This window comes from Homo sapiens, chromosome 15 (assembly GCF_000001405.40).
Source record: "Homo sapiens chromosome 15, GRCh38.p14 Primary Assembly".
Classification (NCBI taxonomy): Eukaryota; Metazoa; Chordata; class Mammalia; order Primates; family Hominidae; genus Homo; species Homo sapiens.
The window spans coordinates 71,465,407-71,485,404 of NC_000015.10; the positions used below are offsets into that span (position 1 = coordinate 71,465,407).

The 19,998-nt window shown below is 44.0% G+C and overlaps 1 protein-coding gene and 1 long non-coding RNA gene across 8 annotated transcripts in view, besides 3 other annotated features; one reads left to right on the forward strand and one right to left on the reverse strand.

The window, feature by feature from the left end:
* Positions 1–19,998, forward strand: part of THSD4 (thrombospondin type 1 domain containing 4) — a 686,490-nt gene that overhangs the window by 368,513 nt on the left and 297,979 nt on the right. The gene's annotated exons all lie outside the window — the stretch shown is intronic.
* Positions 78–769: an enhancer, noted in NCBI's record as "OCT4-NANOG hESC enhancer chr15:71757823-71758514 (GRCh37/hg19 assembly coordinates)". NCBI's record gives its function as "activates a minimal SCP1, AML or CMV promoter by ChIP-STARR-seq in naive H9 embryonic stem cells {active_cell/tissue: H9 hESC(naive)}" and the evidence as "EXISTENCE:reporter gene assay evidence [ECO:0000049][PMID:30033119]".
* Positions 11,697–11,786: a silencer, noted in NCBI's record as "silent region_6614". NCBI's record gives its function as "represses an Ori minimal core promoter by ATAC-STARR-seq in GM12878 lymphoblastoid cells {active_cell/tissue: GM12878}" and the evidence as "EXISTENCE:reporter gene assay evidence [ECO:0000049][PMID:35858748]".
* LOC107984716 (uncharacterized) overlaps positions 13,037–19,998 on the reverse strand; it is a 46,156-nt gene continuing 39,194 nt past the window's right edge. The window contains exon 3 of the long non-coding RNA XR_001751787.2: positions 13,037–16,267. This is a non-coding gene — a long non-coding RNA (uncharacterized LOC107984716). The remainder of the gene's footprint in view (positions 16,268–19,998) is intronic.
* Positions 19,884–19,963: a silencer, noted in NCBI's record as "silent region_6615". NCBI's record gives its function as "represses an Ori minimal core promoter by ATAC-STARR-seq in GM12878 lymphoblastoid cells {active_cell/tissue: GM12878}" and the evidence as "EXISTENCE:reporter gene assay evidence [ECO:0000049][PMID:35858748]".

Consider the following 19,998-nt stretch of genomic DNA (forward strand, 5'->3'; position numbering starts at 1 on the left):
AGAAAAGGCAGGATTTAAAAGCTGTTCCTGCTACCTTTTGGGGGTTTCAACTCCTTTCTACATTATAAAGCTAATTGATAGATTTATGCTTTATTTTCTCCCTGGCCTCCCTCCTTGGCTTCAGATTTAATGAGCCCAAAGGAAAGAGGATCATTATTTAAAATCTGGGTGATGTGCATTTAAATTTAAGATTTATATTTGTGCAGACTTTTTATCCCTGCAACCCAAGTTACCTACATATCAAGCAAACCTCGTCTGTTGCATTGTCGGTATTCATCTCCCCTGTTGGGAAAGGTTTAATCTCATGGGTTATTTCCCAAAACCTGCTTTGTTGCTCTCTCATTTGTAAAGCATGCAATATCAGCTGGAGAGAGGAAGGCACTGGAAAGAATGCTTTGGTCACTTTACATCAGTTTTAAAGTAGTGGCAAATAAGAGAATGCCTATTCAGGGCATTTATTGGCACTTCCATGGGGGGTAGGTCCTGAAGTTTCCTGTGGCAGGTGAGTGAAAGGCCTGGGAAGAAGGCCAAGGATGAAATTGATGTGGAGAAGAGGATCTGGCTGACTTTTCCTTGAGAATTCTAAGGGATATTTCTTCTTCCTTATCCTCCTTTTCTCCCCTTCTTTCACTTAGACATGGGGAATAGAAAGAGAAATAGAGGCCGGGCGCAGTGGCTCACACCTGTAATCCCAGCACTTTGGGAGGCTGAGGTGGGTGGATCACGAGGTCAGGAGATCAAGACCATCCTGGCTAACATGGTGAAACCCTGTCTCTACTAAAAATACAAAAAAAAATTAGCTGGGCGTGGTAGCTGTAGTCCCAGCTACTCGGGAGGCTGAGGCAGGAGAATGGTGTGAACCCAGGAGGCAGAGCTTGCAGTGAGCTGAGATTGCACCACTGCACTCCAGCCTGGGAGACTGAACAAGACTCCATCTCAAAAAAAAAAAAAAGGAAAATAGAGGCCCCAGGAGAAGCTGTAACAGAGAAAAAGGGTCAGACATGGTTATGCTGAAGACCACCCACCTGAGCCCCAGCATCCCCCAGCTCCAGGCCCGATCCAGAGAGGACATGCTCCAAGACATCATGTCCTTTATCTGCTGGTGCCAGGGCAGAACCCTCAGGAGCCTTCCTTGAGTCTTCATTCTTCCTCATCCCTCTAGGGTTTGCTCCACCTTCTGGATCTCCCTCAAATGCTCCTCTTCTTTCCATCCCTTGGTAGAAGCCTCCATCACCTTTTGCCCAGATTGTGGCAGTGGCTTGGTAATGACCCTCCCTGCTTCCAGCTGGCTTTTCTCTCATCCGATTTCTGAATTGGAGCCAGGGCTGTCTTTCTAGGAGGCAATGCTAATCTCAAAGTCTTCTGATGAAACCTGGAGGAACTCTATTCACATCACCCCTTAGTCACACAGTCCTCCCCTCATGCCCCATCCAGCCCCTTTCTAGCTACACTGGACTGGGCCTGAGCCCTGTTGAGTCTGGGGCAAATGCCTCAAGGGCCTCTGGCCTCAGCTAAAAGGTAGCTTCCGCAAGGGAGCCTCCCTATCCAGACCTCTAATCCGGTGTCCCCTGTGAGGCATTGCCCTCGCGTTTGTAACTCACATCCCCGGAAGTCTTATTCAATTCAAATGGAAAGGCCTAGGAGATCCAAACCATTTCCCGTGGCTTCCAGGGACTTCCAGAGCTTGCTTTTTCTGCCTCTCCACTTCTACAACCTCACGTGCTGCCTTTGTGTCTCTCCCCAAATCTATTTTCCACAAAAGTCCACATGGCATGAGTTAACTTGTCATGAATTGACTAACTTTACTAAAGATTAGGATGATCATGAGAGGTGTGGAAGGAGGAATATCTCATCCATCCTCGGTTCACGGCTGAGCACTCCATAACAAAAGACAGATTGACAAGAGAAGTGCAAATTTATTTAATATAAGTTTTATGTGACACTGGAGCCTTCATAAGGAAATGAATACCTGAAGAAATGATTAAATCTGTGTATTTTTATGCCAGGTTTGATGAAGAGTGGACAGTCATGGAGAAATATGATAGAGCAAAAGAGTGCAATCTAATGGTGATAAACTGGGGGAATCTCAGCAAGCAAGGCCTGTTTGTTCAGATTCTTTTCTTGTCCCTGTGTCTTCAGAGATAAGGATGCTTCTCTTCTCTGAGTATAGGGAGGTCACCTCCATATGAGGGTCATATGACCTGCTTCAAGGAAGGGTCAGAAAATCCTTCCTGGGTGTGATGACTTGCTTCAGGGAAGAAGAGCAGGAGAAAGGTGATATGGTTTGGCTGTGTCCCCACCCAAATCTCATCTGAAGTGTAGCTTCCATAATTCCCATGTGTCATGGGAGGGACCTGGTGGGGAGGTAATTGAATCATAGGGGCGGGTCTTTCTCATGCTGTTCCCATGATATTGAATAAGTCTCAGGAGATATGATGGTTTTTTTTTTTTTCTTTTTTTGAGACGGAGTTTTGCTCTTGTCGCCCAGCTGCAGTGCAGTGGCATGATCTCGGCTCACTGCAACCTCCATCTCCCAGGTTCAAGCAATTCTCCTGCCTCAGCCTCCCAAGTAACTGGGATTACAGGCGCCTGTCACCAAGCCTGGCTAATTTTTGTATTTTTAGTGGAAACGAGGTTTCATCATGTTGGCCAGGCTGGTCTCGAACTGCTGACCTCAGGTGATCCACCCGCCTCAGCCTCCCAAAATGCTGGGATTACAGGCATGAGCCACTGCGCCCAGCCAATCTGATGGTTTTATAAAGGGGAGCTCCCATGCACACGCTCTCTCTTGCCTGCTGCCATGTAAGATGTGTCTTGCTTCCCCTTCGCCTTCCACCATGATTGTGAGGCCTCCTCGGCCATGTGTAACTGTGAGTCAGTTAAGCCTCTTTCCTTTATAAATTACCCAGTCTCGGGTAGGTCTTTATTAGCAGCATGAGAACAGAATCATACAGGTCTGGAGACCTTCCTGCACATGCTCTCTCAGATCCCTTTTTCCTTAAAATATTTAATATGCTCATATGCTAAAAGTCCCATATTTTTGGATAGCATGTCCAAAACACCACCAGAGGTGACTTTAACAAGCAATTGGCAATAGGTGCCTTCAAGGGCTCAGCCCTCACTTCACTCCCTTGTTCCTATTTCCTATTAACATTAGTTTTAGCTATAAGAGAAAAATAATATGTAAATATAATAAAACATTACTTTTAGCTATAATAGAAAAAATAATAGCAGTGATCTAAAGGAGTTTATTTCTGCCTCACGTTAGGTAAGTCTGAGAATAAACAGTCCAGGGCTGTTGTGGTCTCCACATTACTGGACCCTCTTCTGTCTTACTCTTTCATGCTTAGCTTCTATTTTTAAGATTATCTCATCATCTAAAGTGACTGCTGCAGCTCCAGCCATTACATATACATTCCAGCCAGCAAAAAGGGCATATGCCCTCCCTTTAAGAATATCCCAAAAGTTGCACACTACTTCTGCTCCCATCCTATTTGCCAGAACTTAGTCACATGACCACACCTAGTTACAAAGTAGACTGGGAAATGTAGTCTTTATTCTGGGCAGGTATTTGCGTGTCTGAAACCTGGTGGTTCTCTTACTGTGGAAGAAAGGGAGAATAAATATTGGAAGACAACTAGCAGACTCTGTCACACCTGTGACAATAAACATCCATCCCTTTTCTTGCCTTGCTTAATTTGACATGTGATTAGGCTCCCTCCAGGCCTCACATTTGACCTAAGATATTGTTTGGGTGTTCTTCTCAAACACCTGCAGCTCACTTCCAAAGAGAATTCTGCTTGATAAACTTTTCTCCATCTTCTAAACCGTGCTAACTTCATGTGTTGCACTGCCCAGGCCCTATGTGGTTGTCATGGCTTTGTCCTCAGTGGGCATCCTCAGATTGCACACAGGACTGGTTTCCACACACACATCCCAAGTTGTAGTTGACTTAACATTACATTTTCAGATTTTCCAGCTCTCAGAATGCAGCTGCAGGTTCACAAGTCAGCAACCCATGGAGAACAGTGAGACAGCAATGCGAGAATGTCCGTGGCCTAGCTCCCCTGCCTCACAGTCCCACGGACACTTGCTGGGGGCTGGCTTCAAGGCTGAGAAGCTGCCAACCAACTTCTTCTGAGAGCCCCCTTCCGGCGAAGTGAGGCACAGGTGGTATTTATCTACTAAGCAGCACCCACATGAATACATTTAGCCGGATATGTGTTCAACTTAGGCTCAACACATCTGCATCAAATATATCTTTGGAAGACTGCCCTATTTCGGCAAGAAGGCAGGAATTTCAGTCTGGTGATCTCCCTCCCCATGATCTCCACCATGCTGGTCTCGCTGTTGTATCCTTTCTTAGTGTCTCCTGTGGCACCTGACATATAGCAGGCCTTCTATCAATATTCGTTTAACGAATAGAAAAATGAACAACATGTGCTAAATGATATACAAAGACCATTGAGCCAATCTAGTGGGAGAACAACATACAGTTATAATAGAGAGGAATTCATACAATATAAATATGTACAGTGTCAAATGAGCACAGAGGAGATGTCCAAGCTGGATTTTAACATATAAATAGGAGTTCACTAGCCATATGGAGGTAGAGATGAAGGCAGAGGAGCCGATTTATGCAAAGGTGTAAAGGCATGAAACAATCTCACATGTTCAGGCAATAAGTATAAGAGGTTCCCTACCTTAAGAACTTTGTAGTTTATAAAGTAGTTTGTTTTTTGTTTTTGTTTTTTTAAATCTTTTCATTTTTTTTCTAGAAGTGATTCATAATTACTACTAATTTATAAGGAGTCAGAGCTTTGCTTTGGGATAATTATTTGCATTCAAGGGTTGTGGAAAAAACCTGATAGTTTGTTGGAGTTCTACCTATTCCCTACCTGAGGGAACCAATAAAATTGAGAATTTTTGTTTCTTTCCTAGAGGTTGACTACTTGGAGCCATGTGAATGCTGCACAGTCTCAATATAAAGGTCTTTTAAAACCCAAGTGATAACCACTGCTAGAAAATAATAACAGCAATTGCCAGCATTGCTATGGCAGAGTACTGTTGTAAGCATTTTATGTCTATTAATTCATTTAATTTTCCTAATGGTCTCATTAGGAGGTACTAGTATTATCACCGTTTCATAGGTGAGGAAACTGACAGAGATGTAGTGATTTGATCAAGATCACAAAGCTAATAAATGGCTGAGTGAGGATTTTATTATTTTTTTTTTTTTTGAGACGGAGTCTCGCTCTGTCGCCCAGGCCAGACTGCGGACTGCAGTGGCGCAATCTCGGCTCACTGCAAGCTCCGCTTCCCGGGTTCACGCCATTCTCCTGCCTCAGCCTCCCGAGTAGCTGGGACTACAGGCGCCCGCCACCGCGCCCGGCTAATTTTTTGTATTTTTAGTAGAGACGGGGTTTCACCTTGTTAGCCAGGATGGTCTTGATCTCCTGACCTCATGATCCACCCGCCTCGGCCTCCCAAAGTGCTGGGATTACAGGCGTGAGCCACCGCGCCCGGCCTGAGTGAGGATTTTAAACTCATATATAGTTTGAAAGTTTTGCAGTATGTTTAAAGTTATCAGGCTATTTCTTTTTGTTGTTGTTTGTTTGTTTGAGCTTGTCTGCTAAGCAGAGACAAAAACAAAAAGAACTTGCTGGTTTTGGGATAACCCCTTGGCCTTGATGCCTGTCGGTTCCTGCACATTCCTGTGCTGTGGGCCTCAGGACTTTGCTGCTCTCCTCCCATCCAGTCCCAGGCTACCCCTTCTGTGACCCATCCCCACTCATGACACTCAACCAGCTTCCCTTGGATGTGAGCACATGGGCCCTCTGCATGCTAAGGTTCAGAATTAATCACTAGGGCAAGCAGGTGGAGGTGTCCAAAAATCAGACTCATGGAGGGGAGGGACAGGTGACAGAGTTTCCAGAATGTCTGTGCCTTTACAGGAGGCCCTGACTCTCTGGGGTGGTAAATGTGCTTAATACTTTCTGTTTCATCTCTCCCACACCCCTCTTACTCACCTAGGCCAGCCCTGAGGTGTCATGCTGGGTCTTAAGGATACAGTGTGCCCCTCTGAGGCCCTCCAGCCACCACTTCCTGCTGTCCTCTTTTGCCTTGCCCTCACCCACTTTATGTCACTCAGTCAGATGTTTGTCTTTTGCAATGTGAAAGGCGAAGTATGATCAAGTGATCAGGAGCAAGGATGCACTGCTCAGACATGCCTGGCTCCACTTCCTGGCCCAGCCTCATACTAGATATGTAGCCTGAGGCAAGTCCCTGACACTTTTCATTCCTGTTTCCTTATCTATCAAGTGGGGGTCATAAAACCTTCCTTACTGGGTGGCCGGGAGGATTCAGGTAAGATCATCCATAGTGCTCAATCAACACTGGCTATGAGAGACAGGCTGTGTAGGGGTTTCAGAGCGTGGGATCTGGAGTCAGACCATGGGTTTGAATCCCAACTTGGCCACATCCAACCATGTGAGCTTAAGTACATTGGTGTTTTTGTTTTTGTTCTGAGAGAGGATCTTGCTCTGTCACCCAGGCTACAGTGCAGTGGCACAATCATGGCTCACTACAGCCTCAACCTCCTGGGCTCAAACAATCCCTCCACCTTAGCCTCCCGAGTAGCTGGAACCACAGGCATGCACCACCATGCCTGGCTAAATTTTTAAAGCTTTTTGTAGAGACAGGGCCTCCCTATGTTTCCCAGGCTGGTCTCAAACTCCTGGGTTCAAGTGACCCTCCTGCCTCAGCCTCCTAAAGTGCTGGAATTACAGGCATGAGCCACTGCGCCTGGCCTAGTAAGTTTTTTATCCTCCTCTGTAAAATGGAGTTAATAACAGTATCTACATGATGGGGTTGTTGTCAAGATTTCATGCTTATAAACTTAAGAGTCAAATATTTAAATGCTAACTAGTATGTATTAGGCCTTCAATACATATTAACCACTACTGTTTATCATTATTATCATCAACAGTTAATTCATTCTAGAGTAACTCTACTGCCTATCTGTGAAAGGCCCATCTGAGCAGGGATCCTTTCCAACAAGACTTGGACTGTCCCTGCAAGCCTTTAATTGTGCTCTCACTCATATTGCCCATTAGAACTCCCCCCAGTTGAAGATTTCTTTGCTCTTCTTAGAGAACAGAGGCTTGGCTTCTCTAACGGGCAGAGTTCCACAGCAGACAAACTAGAAAAAGTCTCCTGAGGAATTTTTCTTCATTCCAAGATGAATGTTCCAGAAACATCCCCTCTCCTGATGCGTCTTGGAAGTCCTGCTCGCTGACCTGCATGGAAATGGGATCTTGATTTTAAGAGAGGTTGATTTCACAGGAGGCTGACTTGTGTGTTATTCTCATAAAGCACATGTCATCTTAATTGAAACTGTGTGAGTGGTAAACTTTGCATTGTAAATTTAGAAAAACTCCCATGGGAAGGAAATGTAGCCTTTGAAACACTGGAGGAGGCAGTGTGAGTTGTTTTATGTAACTCTGGCACGGAGAATACCTGATTTGTGCAGGCAGACTTGTTGCAGATGCTGTTAATGGTGAGATCTGTTTTGAATAGTGCATTTTCAGGTGCTTTTAAAAAAAATTCTTAATGTTACCAAGTCTTTTTGACTGTATTACTGTATTTGGCTTTTTTTTTTTTTTTTTTGAGACAAAGTCTCACTCTGTGGCCCAGGCTGGAGTACAATGGTGTGATCCTGGCTCACCGCAACCTCTGCCTTGCAGGCGCAAGCAAATCCTCCTGCCTCAGCCTCCCAAGTGGCTGGGGCTACAGGCACACACTACCACACCTGGCTAATTTTTACATTTTTTGTAGAGATAGGGTTTTGTTATGTTGCCCAGCCTGGTCTCCAACTCCTGGGCTCAAACAATCCACCCGCCTCAGCCCTCTAAAGTGCTGGGATTACAGGTGTGAGCCACCGTGCCTGGCCCAGCTTTGAGAATCATAAACTGTTTTTAGGTCATTCAATATTATTTTAAAAGCTATAGCCTTTTCTCCAGGCCATACCCCAGCTGGAACCCTGAGCACGGAATTACTTGGAGTTGTCGCTGTTTCTGAGCCTTCAAATCTACCAGGCAACCTATTGGTAAATGACTGTTCACCATAGTAATGGTAACAGCCTGAACACTAATGCCTAACATGCTCATATCATTGTAAGGAATGTAGTCTACCACTGGTGCCCCCAATCCTATACAGAGAAAAGAGTCAGGGAACATTCCCTTCCCATTGCCACTGCTCCTATGGGATGGGGCTGGGGTATCAAGGACCCTGACCCCTGTTTTGGGGTGCTGTTGAAAAAAGGGACATTGAAGCTTGGAGTAGTTTGAATGGAGCTAGCAAAGTCCCCATGCATGCTGTGCGATGCATACAGATGTGCAGGCCACCATCAGTGGAAGGTTCTCACCAGTGGAAGTGACCAGCATAGTCAGTATCACCTGGGCACATTCTTACTTACCAGCCCAGGTCCTACCTTAGGCCAATTAAATTGGAATTTAGGGCAGGGCCTATATGGTGGTTTTCAAAGCATCCCGGGATCTCACTGTGCTGGACACTGCTGGGCAGTCTCTTGATACTGACTCCTCATGTGGATCGCAGGTCAGGTATACCTGGAACCCTATGACCTCATCCATGGTCAGGCCTTATCCATTCAGGGAATCCCAGTGTCCTAGTCTGCTCCCCAGAGGCAGAGGCAGTCACTGTTCATAGCCTCTTGTGCCTTTACAGGGACATTCTGCATTATTTGCACACAAATGGGAACATTACAGCACATATTGTTTGGCATCTTGCTATTTTATTTTATTTTTTTTTTTGAGATGGAGTCTCACTCTGTCACCCAGGCTGAAGTGCAGTGGCGTGATCTCGGCTCACTGCAACCTCTGCCGCCTGGGTTCAAGCGATTCCCCTGCCTCAGCCTCCCTAGTAGCTGGGATTACAGGCGCCTGCCCCTGTGCCTGGCTAATTTTTGTAGTTTTTTTAGTAGAGGCGGAGTTTCACCATCTTGGCCAGGCTGGTCTTGAACTCCTGACCTCATGATCCACCCACCGTGGCCTCCCAAAGTGCTGGGATTACAGGCTTAAGCCACCGCGCCTGGCCTTCTACTTTATTTTTGCTTGCAAGTACAGAGTTCTCCATGGTTTCATGCAACCAGTCCACCGTTGTACCAGCTGTTTTCTTCTCACTTCTCCAGATCTGTCAGCCATCCTTTCATCCTATGCTCTCTGTCTGCAGAAGGCTGCTGTATGTGAATTGCATCATCAAATCTTTCCTCCTAGATTCCCTCTGGGTTCAGCCCCACATGAGACAGGAGGAGGGAGGAGAGTGAGGTTGGGGTATTTATTCCCTTGGCTCTCTCCTTGCAAGGACATCTTAGGTTGCTTTCTCTACTTGACCATCTCCTTCTGGATTCTAGCAATCTCTCTCTTCCCTTGACTCACTGGGCCTGGAGTATCCCCTCCATTCTCTCTAGTTCTGGCTTACTTCACTATGCAGATGATTTTCAAAGTGCGGTTGCAGGACCAGCAAAATCAGTATCACCTGGGAACTTGTTAGGAATGGACATTTCCAGGCCCACCCCAGACCGACTACTGATTCAGACACCCTGAGGGTAGAGTCCAGCAGTCTGTGGTTTACCAAGTCCTCCAGATGATTCTGATGCAAACTCAAGTTTGAGACTCCCTGCATTATGCCTTCCTCTTATGCCCTAACCTATAACTTTACTAATAATCCCTTTACGAAGCCAGCCTCAGATAGTCGTTAAGTTGAATGTGCCATCTGTCTCCTCTTGAAAGCCTGTCTCATGAACCTTTGTTTATAGATCTCTGCACATATGTGTGAGTTTATTAGAGGAATAAATTCCTTTAAATAGCATTTTTGTGGAAAAGGAACATGCATTTCAAATTTTCATAGATATTGCCAAATTGTTCCCCATTTTGTTGTCCCAATTTTCTATTTATAAAAATGGCTTGTGGTTGTTTAACATACCTCTTCAATGACTATTGATTCACCAGACAGTGGTGGTGTATTAGGGTCATCCTTCTCAGATTTGGTGGCGTAAATCTGGGGATCTTGTTAAAATGCAGATCCTGATTTAGGAGGTCTGGGATAGAGCCTGAGAGTCTGCATTTTTAACAGGTTCTCAGGTAATTCTGCTGCTGCTGGTCCAAGGACCACACTCTAAGTAGCAGGTGTTAGGGAGTAAGCATAAAGAAATGGCGGCCAGGCGTGGTGGCTCATGCCTTTAGTCTTAGTGCTTTGGGAGCTTGAGGCGGGAAGTTTGTCTGAGGCCAGGAGTTCGAGACCAGCCTGGGCAACATAATGAGACTCTGTCTCTACAAAATCGTTTTTTAAAAATTAGCTGGGCATAGTGGTGTGCACCTCTAGTCCTAGCCACTTGGAAAGCTGAGGCAAGAGGATTGCTTGAGCCCAGAAGTTCAAGGTTTTAGTAAGCTAGGATCATGCCACTGCAACTCTAGCCTGGGTGACAAAGTGAGACCCTGTCTATTAAAAAAAAAATTCTTTATTTTTTAAAAGAAGTGGCTAAGAGATGGGCTTTGGGCTCATATCCCCACTCAGCCATTCACTAACTGTGTCTTTAGGCAAGTTTATTAATCTTCTCGAGCCTCACCTTCTTTGTCTACAAAATGGGGATTAAATCATAGTGTTTTGTGATGACCAAATAAAGTAACATAGGTATGTAAAGTATTTAGCAAAGGGCCTGATCCATCATGGTCATTCCAAGAAGTATAGCTGGGATAATTGTTTGCCCCATCTCCTATCTATTCCAATGGTTATTTTCTCCACCGGCTGTATATTCCTTTTTTTTGAGGCAGAGTCTCGTGCTATCACCCAGGCTGAGGTGCAGTGGCACAATCTTGGCTCACTGCAGCCTCCGCCTCCCAGGTTCAAGCGATTCTCCTGCCTCAGCCTCCAGAGTAGTTGGGATTACTAGTAGCGGGAGGCACCTGCTACCATGCTTGGCTAATTTTTGTATTTTTAGTAGAGACAGGGTTTCACCATGTTGGCCAGGCTGGTCTCGAACTCGTGACCTCAAGTGATCCACCCACCTCGGCCTCCCAAAGTGCTGGGATTACAGGTGTGAGCCACCATGCCTGGCCAACCCCTTGTATATCCCTGATACTCAGCTGCCCTTAGCTCCCTTCAGACAATTTCCAGTGTTCCAGATTGGCAGCTGCTGTAGAATGTCCTGTTTGTCTTCAAGGCAACAAGGCAACCTCTAGGTCCAAATCTATAGCTAAAGCTAATACTATTTTCTTTTAGCACCTCAAGAAGAGAGCTCACAGCGGAATCATTACCAAACTCTCTGCTGAGCAGTTGTTCAAGAAACAGTGCAGCCCAGGTCTCTCTCCCCATCTCTACCCAGCATCAGCATCCCTCAGACTCTTCAAGAAACTTTTGGAACGTTTACTTTTGGAAAAGTGAGCCTTCAGGAGCCCCAGCTGCCTCATCAGTTATCTGGGCCGACATAGGTTTCCAATCCTTTTCTATAGGGTGAGCATGAGTGAACGCGCACTGGCATCCTCCCATCCTGGGGCAGGGAGAACTTCTCATTTCCTCCCAGCAATGTGCAAACTCAGGTTTCATGCTTAGGCAAATTAAGTCCCCCAAATAGCACTGTTCACCAAGGTAAACATACAGATAATTTGCAGTACAGTTCCTGATTTACAAAAGAACATTTCAGAAACCAGAGCTACAACATCAAGGCATTGAAACGAGGCAAAAGCTCCACACGCCCTCCTTCAGACGTGCACGGAGCCAGCCAGGGCCAAATGTGTGAGGGTGTGACGCCACTGGTTCCTATCAGACGGGGTCTTCTTCTGTTTAATGTGAAATCAAATGAGAACATAAACAGACTGCTAGTAAAGCTCCGAGCATATGTGTGCAAAACCGTGTTTAGAATGGTTCGAAGTTGCCCAGAGGAGTCCAGAGGTAGAGGAAGTGGATGTGCTGCCCCGCAGGCCCTGGGTATTGAATTCATTTTCCCCACCCTGAAGACAGCTCTTGTGCCTGGAAGATGAAAGGACGGGCGGACAGCAAGAGACATTTGAAAGTTACTGGAGTGGGATTAGGAGTATGGAGGCCACATTGGGAGCATTATGCTGCATGTTATGGAAAAAGAAATAAAAGCTGCTGCTTCCTTTTCTTCTTGAGCAACTCTTCTATCTGTAGGTCCTCAGCCCCTCCTGTTCTCACCTCCTTAGCTGGGTCAGCTCTTCTCCCATTGTTTCAGCCTCCACCTTCATGCTGACCATTCTCCAGTCTTCACCACCAGTGCAGCCCAGATCTTCCTCCCGTCTCCTGCCCTGCATCAGCATCCCTCACACCGTCACTTTATTCACCCTCTTCACCATGCTGAACCTGCTTCTCCTTCTGTGATTCCCACACCCAAGTAAATCTTCACTTGAATACAGGGTTCTGCAGCTTAAAAAATCATAACAAACTATCTCACTGCTTGCTTTCAAATCTGGCACGATGTAGCAGAGCTGTGTGCCCAAATCCAACAATTCTGGTCCCCAAGGATGGGGAGGTGGTGTGCTCAAGCCCCAAGGCTTGGAGGCTGCTGCAAGAAGCAGACCTGTGCAACTGCTTGCTGCCTTGGCACAATGTTTTCCTTAAAGATGTTGCTCATTACATTCCATAACAGCATCTTAATGAGAACCTATGGGAGAAATTTCCCCTGGGGTCGGCTGCGTAGGATTAGATATTTTCATCCTGAGCAAGTGAGGCCGTTTTGGTTCTGTGAATGCCATGTCATATTATAGCTTACATCAGAAAGCCCAGACCTGCCTCTAGGAAGTATATAAGCAGGTATAAAAATAGATGTTGTATGCTAACTCCATTCCTGACTTTCTTGTGTCTTCGTCTACTTATTTTAATTTATTTTATTTGGTATTATTACATATATTTATGTAAATCTTCTTTAAAGTAGGACATAACTTATGCAGAATTATATCCCCTATTCTCATATTTTAGTAAATAAACACATGCATACAGTATCTGTGAGGATCTATTTATTAAGCAGAAAAATGCAACTTTTTATAGACAACCCGATTTGGTGGACTCCACCCAAAAGATGAACAAAATCAAAGTCACAACAGCACCTGTAGTAACCTGTTATAAAATAGTGCAGCATTGTGAAGAGAGATTTAGACCTTGAATGTCAGTAGGAGGCAAGTAGAAAGAATTTCAATGGTAGGTAGCAGCCAAAATTCAGATCACTTCTATGTGGCCTAAAACACAGTTATGCCAAGAGTAATTATGGGATGTGCAATAATAAAATATTGGGGACTGTATTTCTGATAAAGGGAAGACTCTGGCAACCAAATGAGGGGACCACAAAGGACGAGAATCATATGAGCCTTTTCCAGACACTGGGCAAAGTGTTCTGAGAGGTTATTCCTCTTGGGCTTCCCTAATGGGCCATTAGAAAAGGGACTGTTTGCTGGTTAACAGAGATGAAAGTTTCTGTCATTTTTCTGCAAGTGAACAGGTCTTTAATATTTCCTGAAACCACAGGTCTGCTTTGTATCCTTTAACTGAAACAACTATAATCCTTAACACCAGAGAGCTGTGGGCCCCCAGTAGTGCAGTGGCAGTCGAGGGGAACAGAAACACCTGCAGGAAAATTAGGCAGAGTGTATTTTTTTTTTTTTTTTTTTTGGCAAGCCATGTCTGGGATCTGTAAATGCTGATCACTTGTTCACTGGTGGCTTTTCTTTACTTTCTTTCTTCTGCCTTTTTTTTTTTTTTTTTTTTTTGTCAGGTGTTTTCAATGACTCCCCTACCTGAGTAAGGTACTAGATGGACATATTTTGCACCGATTCCCATTAGGCTTAAATAACATTCTCCATCTCCATTTGTTCATGTTATTTGTCATGTTCACAACTTCTGTTTCTGATGCCAAGCCTTAGTTCTTTTAATTGGGTAACCTTTCTCTTTCTCTGACACTAGTGAAATTACTTTTACTAGAGTCTGCAGTTTCCTAATCATTGCTTCTGGATTTGGGGTTTTATGGAAGGATCAAGGACAAATGAAGAGTGAGAGGCAGGAAAGAAGGTTAACTTTAGTTTTGGGAAACTGAGCACTAATTCACAGATATGCATCTCGGAGTCTGAAACAGAGACTTTTCATTAGTCGATGGAATAAACAGACAAATTTGGGGAAGAAACAGGCTGGGCTGTTTTTTATATGTTGATGGGGATTTGGTTTAAATTTTGAAGCATACTTCAGCTTTTAGTTGCCAGATTTTAAAAGTACGTACCCTTCACTCTTTAGGAGAAGGTTTGAAAAAAAACTGTGTTTCCTGTTGAAGGCCAGTGATACCTGGCAGCTTACAGTTAGAAAACTCTATAACTTTATTATTTTCATTTGCACTTAAAACTGCTATGAGTTTTTTAATGCAAAAAATAGTGATTGAGAAAGAAAAAAGTGAACATATTTATATTCTTCCCCCTCAGAGAGAAACACTGTTAACATTTTGTGTATTTCGGTCCAGGTTCTTTTCTGTGTGTGTAAGCACACATATGTGTTTATATTGTATAAAATAAGAGATTCATGCTGGACATACATTGTTTGTAACTTCCTTCCTTTCCTTCCTTTCTTTCTTTCCTGAGCTAGGGTCTCGCTCTGTCACCCAGGCTAGAGTGCAGTGGTGGGATCTCAGCTCACTGCAACCTCCGCTGCCTGGGCTCAAGCGATCCTCCCACCCAAGCCTCCCAAGTAGCTGGGACCACAGGCACATGCCAGGATGCCTGGCTAATTTTTGTTATTTTTTGTAGAGACAAAGTCTTACTATGTTGCCCACGTTGGTCTCGAACTCCTGAGCTCAAGCGATCTACTCACCTTGGCCTCCCAAAGTGCTGGGATTACAGGCATGTGCCACCATGCCCCGCCACTTTTTTTGTTAATGTTTTAGACATATCCCATGTATATATAAATATAGATCATTGTCATTAATAATAATGACGGTTTAATACTATGTGATGTGTTGCAATTTATTAAATTCCCTATTTTTTGAAATTTAAGTTGTATATCTGTTAACTCTTGCCATAATATTGCTGCGTAACAACTACAAAAATAAGGCAGATAGAAATAAGCACTTCCTTCTTGCTCGTGAGTTTTCAGCATGGCTGAGGTGGTATTGGTACATAATGAGGTGGAGCGGGCTCTGCTCCCTGAGCCTCTTACACCCTTCCTGGGATCTTCTCATCGCGTTGCCAGCTAGAGTTGACAAAAGTGCAGGAGTGCAAAGCCCAATCACATAAATGTTTTTCAAGCCTTGCATTGCATCTTAGTCACAAATATTCCATTGGCCAAAGTAAGTCACGTGGCCCAGCCTAAAGTCAGGGGGCAGGGAGTGCACTGGACCTGTGAAGAGGAGCGCAGTGGATAGTAAAATATTTTCAAACACTCATCAACTCTACCATAGTCTATCTTCATTTTTCATTGTAAACACATCCATGAACACCCCATGCATGCAGTTTACATACCTGATTGACTTTTTTTATAGATTCATAGAACTGAAATTTGGTCCAATGTCAAATAGTATACAAAGTTTTAATTTTTATGCCTGTGACCAGACCACCCTTGTTAGACTTGTTTAAAAACAGAGCAGTTTGTTAGATTGTTTTGGGGTAGGGAAAAAGGAGGATGCTCACTAAGCCAACAACAAACAAATAAAAACCTGCATTTGATTGGAAGAAAAAAAGCTCTAAAAAGTGAAAAATTCTCACATTAAATGTAACATTTAGACTCTGTGATAAAAGAAGCCTCGATTAGTTCTCAAAGATCCAGGATAAGGTAATCTGATGTTTTTGGAATACTATATTATTAGGCTTCTATGGAAAGTACTAATAGCTACTTCTTTGTTTCTAAGTATGCTTATAAAATCAGAGTCATTCCTTCATATATATTTATGTATATAAAACTTTGAGAATTTCTGGGATGATGAAGTTTTTAAAAATAGACATAAAAGTTTGAAAATACAAGTAGATTGATGCTTTCACTGAACCACAAGGATTTTTCTAAGTAGCTAAGTCCTTCACTGAATTCCAGCAGGCAGTGGTAGTGGAGAAGTAATTTCTTAGATACACGTAGCCCAGATGGAGAAGAGAAGACCTTCTTTCTCAACTCTCATTTTTCTCTTCCTTTTAGCCAGTCCTTCCTTTTTGCCCCTCTTCATGCTCTAGCCTCTTTCCCCTTTTCATTTGTTCATTAAGCCTGTAATTACCTAAAAAGAAATAAGAAAAAGAAGGACAAGATGTGTACGTATATGCTCATAGTTGGATAGAACAACCATTTCATTATTTCTATTGGCTAGAGTATTATTTTCTCACCTTATTAAGTGATCAATCCTTCTGTAGACATTTATGAGAACACCATGGTTTCTGATAAATACATGTTTTGAGTGAATTCCCTCTAAGTAAATATTGAAAAGGCAGGGATTCTTTATGTGTTTCCAGTCATTGCTTGAAAACTCAGCCTTTTGGCTTTAAACACCAGAATAATTGCTCAGAGCCATAAGTGCCCTTCCCAAAGTCCAGCAACAACATGTGGAGCCAACTTAGAAAACATGGGGTAAAAAAATAATCCCTGCTCCTTCTGGCCATAGTCTGATCAGTGTGTTTGGTTTCAAGTAACAGTAACAACTTATAGCAGCTTAAACCAAGAGGGATTTACTTTCCTATCATAACAAGAAGTCTGAAGGTAGACAGTAACTACAGTTGATTCAGTGGCTTAACACTGGTATCATCTCTACTGATTCTCCCATGGTCTCAAGAGGGCTCCTGTGGCTCCAGCCATCATATTTGAGTTCAAGGCAGACAGAAAGATGGAAAGGACTGTACTGTAACTTTTTTTTTTTTTGAGACGGAGTCTTGCTCTGTTGCCCAGGCTGGAGTGCAGTGGCACGATCTCGGCTCACTGCAAGCTCCGCCTCCTGGGTTCACGCCATTCTCCTGCCTCAGCCTCCCGAGTAGCTGGGACTACAGGCACCTGCCACCACACCCAGCTAATTTTTTGTATTTTTAGTAGAGATGGTGTTTCACTGTGTTAGCCAGGATGGTCTTGATATCCTGACCTCGTGATCTGCCTGCCTCGGCCTCCCAAAGTGCTGGGATTATAGGCATGAGCCACCGTGCCCAGCCAACTTTTTTTTTTGAGAGGGAGTTTTGCTCTTATTGCCCAGGCTGGAGTACAGTGACTCGATCTTGGCTCACTGCAACCTCCACCTCCCAAGTTCAAGCGATTCTCTTGCCTCAGCCTCCCAAGTAGCTGAGACTACAGGTGGCCGCCTCCACACACGGCTAATATTTTGTGGTTTTAGTAGAGATGGGGTTTCACCATGTTGGCCAGGCTGGTCTCAAACTCCTGTCCTCAGGTGATCCACCCACCTCGGCCTCCCAGAGTGCTGGGATTACAGGCATGAGCCACCACGCCTGGCCTGTACTGTAACTTTTAATAGGAAAGCAAACCTTTCTCATAACTGCCACCCTCCCCCACAGCAGAGTTCAACTTATATCTCATTGGCCAGAACCATTGCCATGCCCATCCCAGCTATGAAGGAGACTAGGAAAGTGAGTATTTTTTTAAAGACAAAAAAAATAAGGAGGTTGAGAATAGGTATTAAGATTGCTAATAAACAGTATCTTTTACAGTAAGGAATACAAAATATTAAAGAGCTATCTTTAATATTTAATAAAAGCACCATCCAGGGACATAGAGAAACATGAAAGAGAGAAGATGCATAGGCCAAGTTGGGCTGACTACAGGCTCGAGTCCCTCAGACTGATTACGCAGTCACAGTCTCCAATACCTCAATTCTTCTTGAGTACCTTCATAAACTCCCCTCAATCTTCATACGTGTGAATATATGTAAATGTGTGGCTTGCATCTTATTTGAATTTTAATCTATGTTGGTTTCATAATAGGTCAAAGATTATAAGTTTCTCCTATCAAGGCTTGTTTGGTTTTTGTTTGGACATTTTATTTCAGGGAGAATGATGTTCTAAAACTTGATCAAGTGGAGTGAGAGGTGGCGCTGTCTCATGAGAAGAGCATTTGACTGGTTGGCAATTTACTTAGGAAAGTAACTTGAACTTCCACAGCCTTCGTTCTTTTTTTAATTTATTATTTATTATTTTATTTTATTTTTACATTTTAAGTTCTGGGGTACATATGCAGGATGTGCAGGTTTGTTACATAGGTAAATGTGTGCCGTGGTGGTGGTTTGCTGCACCTGTCAACCCATCACCTAGGTATTAAGCCCAGCATGCATTAGCCATTTATCCTGATGCTCTCCCCGACCCCACCCTCCCCCGACAGACCCCAGTGTGTGTTGTTCCCCTCCCTCTGCCCATGTGTTCTCATTGTTCAGCTCCCACTTGTAAGTGAGAACATGCGGTGTTTGGTTTTCTGTTCCTGCATTAGTTTGCTGAAGATAATGGCCTCCAGCTCCATGTGTGTCCCTGTAAAGGACACGATCTCGTTCCTTTTTATGTAGCCTTGATTCTTCCTCTAGGGAAGGGAGACACCATTCATTCTGCCTATTTCACAGGGTGTGAACAAGTGAGAAAATACTCTATAAAGAGGAAACGGCCTTTCAAATATATCTCAGAATGGTATATATTTCACATTGGACCCATTAACTAGCTTCTCTGTGAACCTAGACTTTCTCAGGATTTGAAACTCAGATGGAGATACTGCCGTCTGGAACGGAAACTTTTGGAATATTTTTCTATGAAATTCCTGATGCTCTGACCATCGGGAAACTTCCCTCTGCTGATTTTACTGACTCCACCAGCATAGTTGACTCATGAGGAACCTCCAGAGAGAATGGTTCTACTTTTCTAAATTAGCTTTTAGAAGGGCCCACATGCTGCTGTTTTCATGAGTAAGATCTGAAGAAGAAACTGGCCCTGGGTCTCTTCTTACATTGTTTTTTCGATTAGATAGGTGCTATTATTATTCCAAACTTAAATTTGAAGAAACCAAGGTTCAGAAAGATTTTGTGTTTTACACAGAAGCCTGGCTTTTAAACCAAACCTGTCCTGTCCTGAGGCAGAGCTCGAATCAGCTGTCAAAGGTAGCGTTATCAACCTAAGCTCCTCTTCTTCCTCATCATCCTTTCAGCATACCTGTGATCTCATACAGCCCTCTTTAAAAGGAGGTTTGAACTTGGGAAGGTTCAAAGTCGGGGGCTGAACTCTGAAAAGTCAAAATTCTTTGAGGTTGTTAGAACTGTGAGTTTATTAACCCCCATTTGCAGGTGTGGAAACAGAGGAAACTCAGAGACGTGAAGTGACCTGTCCGTGGCCATCTGGAGTTTGTGATGAAGTGAACCCTTGTGATGGAGTACGACCTGGGGCCAAAGTTTCCCCTCCAAATCATTTAGAGGCATTGGGACTTAAAAGAGGTCAAGGACTTCTGACCTAATAAAAAATGCATTCTGGTTGAGTTTGCTTAAGACGTCCCATCATCTCAGAGGCAGACATCTGGTCCAGTCCTCTCTTCTACCCCTGACTATTGCTGACCAGCTAGGTGATCTACAAACATTTAAACCATTTTGTGTCTTCAAATACGTTGTTTCTCCGCCCTTTCCCCAGCTCCTCTAGAGGCTAGTGTTTCCAGATTTGGAAGAAAGAGGGCTGGGCTGACTAAGGGTGTTTAATCAGTAACCACTACCGCCACTCCTGCTATCCTCATTAATGCTGATGGCTTTTTCTAGGCCCCACTGGCTCCACATCTGTATATGTATTTCTGTTCTGCCATTATTCGTCTGACCTGGTCATCTGCATGGTATGGAGCCTTAGATGAGGGACCTTAAGAAATGAGTTCTAGGCCAAGCTCTGCCCCTAGTGGCCATCTCCCTCTCCACCTCTGGGCCTCAGATCTCCATCCCTAGGCTGAGAAGGTTGAACTAGAAACCCCCTAAAGAATTTTTCTGTGATTTATTTTCCTTTC